This window comes from Homo sapiens, chromosome 12, assembly GCF_000001405.40.
Source record: "Homo sapiens chromosome 12, GRCh38.p14 Primary Assembly".
In the NCBI taxonomy this organism is placed as follows: domain Eukaryota; kingdom Metazoa; phylum Chordata; class Mammalia; order Primates; family Hominidae; genus Homo; species Homo sapiens.
Window position 1 is genome coordinate 38,161,583 of NC_000012.12, and position 6,319 is coordinate 38,167,901.

The 6,319-nt window shown below is 48.2% G+C and overlaps 1 long non-coding RNA gene and 1 pseudogene across 1 annotated transcript; one reads left to right on the forward strand and one right to left on the reverse strand.

The window, feature by feature from the left end:
• RNA5SP359 (RNA, 5S ribosomal pseudogene 359) lies at positions 1,821-1,933 on the reverse strand (annotated as a pseudogene).
• LOC124902916 (uncharacterized) lies at positions 5,142-6,052 on the forward strand. Its single transcript, XR_007063273.1, has 2 exons — positions 5,142-5,306; positions 5,394-6,052. It is a non-coding gene; the product is annotated as an uncharacterized LOC124902916 (long non-coding RNA).
• The last annotated feature ends 267 nt before the right edge of the window (positions 6,053-6,319 follow it).

The following is a 6,319-nucleotide window of genomic DNA, read 5'->3' on the forward strand; positions in this document are numbered from 1 at the left end:
ACAGGCAGTGATACCTAGCTGACACAAGAACCTGGCTCAGCCATGCCCGCCCGACTCCAGGCGTCACTGCCACTCCAGGGCCGCAGGGCTCGGATTGGGATACCCCTGAGCCACTCGCCTGCTGCTGGGCTGCTCTCCCACTCCATGCCGGAGCACTGTAGGCTGCCGCGCTGCGCCTTCCGCCGGCCTCCAAGAGCCTCCCGCCATCACAGGCAAGGCCACGCACTGGACCACCGCGGCGCCGCCCTGCTGTTGAGTGGGGAAGCCAGAGGTTTCCATCCCCTGCCCAGACTTCGGGTTCTCTGGGCAGCCTCCATTCCTCCGACGCTCCAGGGCTTCCCCAGGCTACTGAGCTCCCAAGCTTCCACCACATCGGACCTGTTCAGGACAGTTTGTGCTCCCAGGCGTCAGGGCCCTGGGCCCACGGTCCTGGGATACCCTCCTGTCCTCCTCCTTGCCGCAGAGGGATTATTTTTGTTCCCTCGCCGCCCCTCCTGCAAGGCCCCCTCTTGCCTCACCCACCCAGAGCTGCTAGGGCTGCTCAGGGCTGAACCGCCGGCCTAGCCCCAGGGACCCTTTCTCTCACAACGTCCCTAACAGCGTCGCTTGTCCCGACAAGGACGTGACCCACGGCCAAATGAGTTGGGGGAGCTGCTTTGCCCCGCGCTGCCACTAGAGCTGGCCGACTGATCCCGGGAGAGAGAGGCTGATGGACAGCCAGACACACCTCACCAGCACCACGAGCAAACCCACCCCTACACCCACAGACACACATGGGTGCACGCGCGTGGGCACACAGACACACACACACACACACACACAGATACACAAAGATACAGATAGACACCTTGAAGGAGAGCAAGGGAAAGAGGGATGGAGAGATAGAAACTGAGGGAGAGAGACAGCGATAAAGAGAGAGACAGGGAGGAAAGAGAGAGAGAAGGTGACAGAGAGATGGAGGGGGAAGAAGAGAAACAGAGAGAGGGTGAGAGAGCTAGAGAGCCAGAGCGATAGAGCCTGGGAGAGGAAGCGCTCTGCTCTGGTAGACAGGGCTCATTCAAGCAGGCTGGGGTAGGGTGGAGGGTGATTGAGCCAGGCCAGAACAGGGGGTCAGGGCCCTGTTCTGCAAGAGGACCAACAGAACTCTGAGACGTATTTTTTCATAGATTGGTTGGTTGCTTTGGGGGTGCGTTTCATAGGGTCCTCCTTTTGTTGGCTACTCCCTGTCTTCTTGGTGTGGTGGGCCCCGAGATTTGTAGAGTGCGTCCGTCCGTGTGGTGGGAGCCATGGCATGGAGCGTGCTGACGGGGCCCGAGGCCTGGGTCTCTCTCGTGTCCTCGGGACTGGAGTTTACACGAAGTCGGTGGCAATAGGAATTGGGGTGCACAGGGACAGATTTCCTCGTGACTGGTGACGGCAGTGTCCTTCCCCTGGGGAAAGCAGCTCATAGGTCCTGGAGCAGTGGTTTTGGCTGCCGTCTGTGGGACCCTCTGCCCCTGGCCGCCACTTCCCCTGGCTTGAGCTGTTGCATGGAGCCTGATGAGTAAATTGAATTGCCTGGGCGTCCCGGGAGCGTGAAGACACCGGGCACCTTAGGGAACATGTACCGCCCCCGCCCCGGCTGGAGCTGGGCACCTGGTGGGGCTGCAGCAAGGCGGAAGATGTGGGATCCTGTTGCCTGGTGGTGCTGCAGCGGTGGACTCCCACGAGGAGGTCCCAGGCTGCTTCGGGGCTGCAGGTGACGGTAAAAGCGGGAGCAGAATTAGGGGAAGGTCGTGAAGCACGGCGACAAAAGGTGGAAAGAGGGAGGGCGAAGCCAAACCCTACAGCACCCAGCATTCCCAGGCGGCCTCCCATCCGAGTACTAACCAGGACCGACCCTGCTTAACTTCCGAGGTCAGATGAGATCGGGCAGGGTGATATGGCTGTAGGCGCTGGCAGTGGCGCCTGGATGCCGCAAGAGCCCGGCACTGCCACGCCCGCCGGACTCCAGGCATCATCGCCACCCCGGGGCTGCGGGGCTTGGATCCGGGATCCCCGAGCCGGCCGAGCTGCTCTCTCCCTCTATTCCCCCGAGCACTGCTGGCCACCACTCTGTGCCTTCCTCCTGCCTCCCAGAGCCTCCCTCCGTCGCCGGCTGCCGGGCCACGCGCAGGACCGCCATGGTGCCGCCCTGCTGTTGCTCTGGGGCGCCAGAGGCCTCCGTCCCCTGCCCAGGCTTAGGGGTCTACGGGCGATCTCCCTTCTGGCGATGCTCCAGGCCTTCACCCGGCTCCCGAGCTTCCACAACATCAGGCCCGCTCAGGACGGGTGTGCTCATCCCTTCACTTTTTAACTTTTTGTTGTTTCTATTTATATTTTTTTGTACTATGTCTTGAAACGTTCTTGTAGTTATTACTCTTGATTGGTTTATTATTTAGTCTTCCTACATAGAATGAGTTTACACACCACAGCTATAGTGTTATAATATTCTGTTTTGTTTTGTATAGTTACTATTATCGATGACGATTTTTTTACCTTCAGTTGATTATTTATTGCTCATTAATGTCCTTCCTGACTGAAGTACTCCCTTTAGCATTCCTTGTAGGACAGGTGTGGTATTGAAATCCTTCAGCTTTTGTTTGTCTGGAAAAGTCAGTATTCTTTTTATTTGAAGAACATTTTCACTGTATATGCTATCCTAAGGTAAAGGTTCTTTTCCTTTAGTGCTTTAAATATTTATTGCTTCTTTCTCCTGGCCGATAGGGTTTCCAATGTAAAGTCTGCTGCCAGATGTGTTGGAGCTCCCCTGTATGTTATTTGCTTCTTTTCTTTTACTTTTGTAGAACTTTTCTTTTCTTTGACTTTTTGAAGATTGGTTATTGAATGCTTTGAAGTAGTCTTTTTTGGGTTAAATCTGCTTAATGTTCTATAACATTTTTTAGTTGGATTTGGATATCTTTCTCTAGGTTTGGAAAGTTTTCTGTTATTATCCCTTTAAATAAATTTTTCTACCCCTGTCTCTTTCTCTACATCTTCTTTAAAACCAATAACTCTTAGACCTGTCTTTGTGAGGCTATTTTCTAGATCCTGTAGGCATTATTTGTTGTTTTTATTCTTTTTCTTTTGTCTCAAGCCTGTCTTCAAGTTCACTATTTCTTCTGCTTGATCCATTCTGCTATTAAATGGCTCTAATGCATTATTCAGCATGCCAATTGCATTTTTCAGCTCCTGAATTTTTGCTTAATTTGTTGTAACTATTTCAATCTCTTTGTTGAGTTTAGCTGATAAAATTTGGAATTTCTTTACTTTGTTATCTTAAATTTCTGAGTTTTTTTTTTTTTTAATACAGCTATTTTGAATTCTGTCTGAAAGATTACATATCTCTTTTTCTCCAGGATTTGTCCCTGGTGCCTTGTTTAGTTCACTTGGTGAGGTCATATTTTCTTGGATGGTGTTGTTAGTAGATGTTCTTCAGTGTCTGGACATTAAAATTTTGGCATGCAGCATCATATAAGAGGTTAAAAAAAAGAATTTTTTTTTTTTAAAAGGTGAGTATTTATTGTAGTATTCATTGTCTGGGCTTATTCATAGCCATCTTTCTTGGGAAGGATTTCCACATATTTGAAAAGGCTTGTGTTGTGATCTAAGCCATACCTGCTTTGGGAGGCACCTTATACCCAATAATTCTGTAATTCTTGCAGACTTATAGAAGTACCACCTTGACAGTCTTGGACAAGATCCAGGAGAATTTTCTGGATTACTAGCCAGAGACCCTTGTTCTCTAACCTTATTTTCCCTCAAAGATACAGTAGTCTTTCTCTATATTCTAAGCCACCTAAAATTGGGAGTAGAATGACACAAACACCCCTGGCCACCACCACTATGACTGCCCTGGATCAGATCTAAAGCTAGCACAGCACTGGGTCTTGCTCAAGTTCTGCCGCATGCACTTTCTGATGACTACCTATGTTCACTCAAGGCCTTTGGTCTCTACAATTAGCAGGTGGCAAAGCCAGCTACATCTGGGTTCTTTCCTTCAGGGCACCTGACATTCTATTGCATTCCAGCGGAGCTAGCATTGAAATCACAAGACACAGTCCTTCCTATTCCTCCTTTCCTTTTCCAAAGGCAGAGTAACTACCAGCAACCCAGGACACAAGGAATACTGCCAGGCTACCACCAATGTTCCTTTAAGGCCCAAAGCCTCTTTTCAGGTTGTGATGAATGTTGCCTGGCCTGGGACTTGCCATTTTCAGGCCAGTGGGCTCCCCACTGGCCCTGGGCAGGTTCATACATGCCAACCAAGAATCAAGTCCTAGAATCAGGGATTCCAAAAGCTTTCTTGGTGCTCTACGCTCCTCTGGCCTTGCTGGTACTTAAGTGGCAAGACGAAGTCCCCTTTACTTTTCCCTCTGCTTTTCCCAAGCAAAGGGAGTTTTGCCCTTTAGCCACCACAGCTTGTAATGAGCTGAGTCTCACCTAAATCTAGTAAGTCTATGAGGCTCACCCAAGGCTCTTGATATAGTACCTGGGTATGGCTGCTTGTTATTCAGGGCCCAAAAGTTGTTAAGTTTGCAGGTGATAAATGCTGCCAGCACTGGGTTCTTTCCTTTAAGGCAGCAGGTTTCCTTCTGGCCTGGGTGTGTCTAGGAATGTCCAGGAGCCAGAGCCTGGAAAGGAGGCCTCAGGACTCTGACCAGTGAGCTATCTTGCTGTGGCTGAGCTGGTAGCCAGGATGGAAAACAAAGTCCTCCCTAATCTTTTCCTCCTCTCCTCAAGCAGAAGGATGGTGTCCCTTTTGGAGCCATGAGCTGTGCAGACTGGTATTAGGGGAGTGATAGTGCCAGAACTCCTTTGGCTGCCCCAGCTGCTGTCTCAGTATGTTGCATGCCCTCCCTACCCCAGTTTACTGTTCCTGGGCCCAGATCAGCCCTAGGCCTCACCTAAGATTTGCAGTCCTGATGGCCTATGCTGCCTTTCAAATTTTCTTAGATACACAGAGCGCTGGAGCCCTCAGTTGCCAGGTTTCCAAACGCTCAAGTTCCAACCACTGGAATCTGATTCCCCTCTGGCTAGGGCTGGTTTAAATGATCCCTCTGTGGATGGGCATTGACTGCATTCGGTCTGGTTTTCCTTTCTGCTCTAACAGGACAGCACAGGGTTCGATGCCTCACAATTGCTGTGTTCTCCCTCCTGCAGAGCCCAGAGTTGATCTCTGCACCACTCTATCACTGCTGGGGGTGAGGAAATGGTGGAACCGGTGATTCAGGACTGTTTTTTCTCTCTTCTCAGTGCCTCTTTCAGTGATATGAAGTTAAAACCAGGTATTTTGAGTACTCACCTGATTTTTGGTTCTTATGAAAGTATTTTCTATGTAGATATTAATAGTTGTTCATCTGGTGTCCTTGCAGGATGGAAGATCAGTGGAGCCTTCTTTCTGCCATCTTGCTTTACCCTCACACCCAAGAATCAGAATGCAGAACTTTTAATCAGAAAAGCATTCAGAACTCAGGAAGGACATGGAAGACATCCTGGTTCTCCACGTTTAACATTGGACTGTTTCTTCAACTTAGGTGCATAGCACTGACACTAATCAGGGATTATCACCGATAATTTGACTTGGACTATGGAGTTCATTCAAATACTTTATCTAGACAATTTAAGTACTGGCTTATTTGTCATGAAAATCTGACAAAGTAATTTCTTGGTATTCAGTTGATTTTTACTCTGTTTGGGTTAGCAGTTTATAAACCAGTCAGTCTCTTCATTAAAGTTCTGGGAATTCTTACTCGTTCAAATGATATGATTCTAAAGTTCTCAAAAATCTGTATTCTAGAATTCTTCTCAGGACCTTTTCCCTCCTTTCATGAAACTCCTTAAAGATACAGTATTCTATAATTTTGCAAGCTTGTACAGTTTTCAGAAACTGCCTCAGAATTAAGCAATTTACAGTGGAAATGTTTTTAAATTGTCATAGACACAATTGACAAGAAAATTTTATTATTTACAGGCGTGAGCCACCACACCCAGCCTCTGAAGTTAATTTAATAAAATTTTATGAATAAATTTATCAAATGTGTCATCTTTTAATCCCAGATCTTTGTGAACCTATGCTTTGCATTTCCCCCAGCTTTCTATATTTACCTAGTTTTATCTATTTTTTACTTGTACAATTTGAAACCTTTAAGTAACTTCAAACAAAAAAAAATTAAAACATATGTTTACGCCTTTATAAGTTTTCTCATCAAAAGTATATCTTCACAAGCCTGTAATCCCAGCACTTTGGGAGGCCAAGGCGGGTGCATCACTTGAGGTCAGGGGTTCGAGGCCAGCCTGG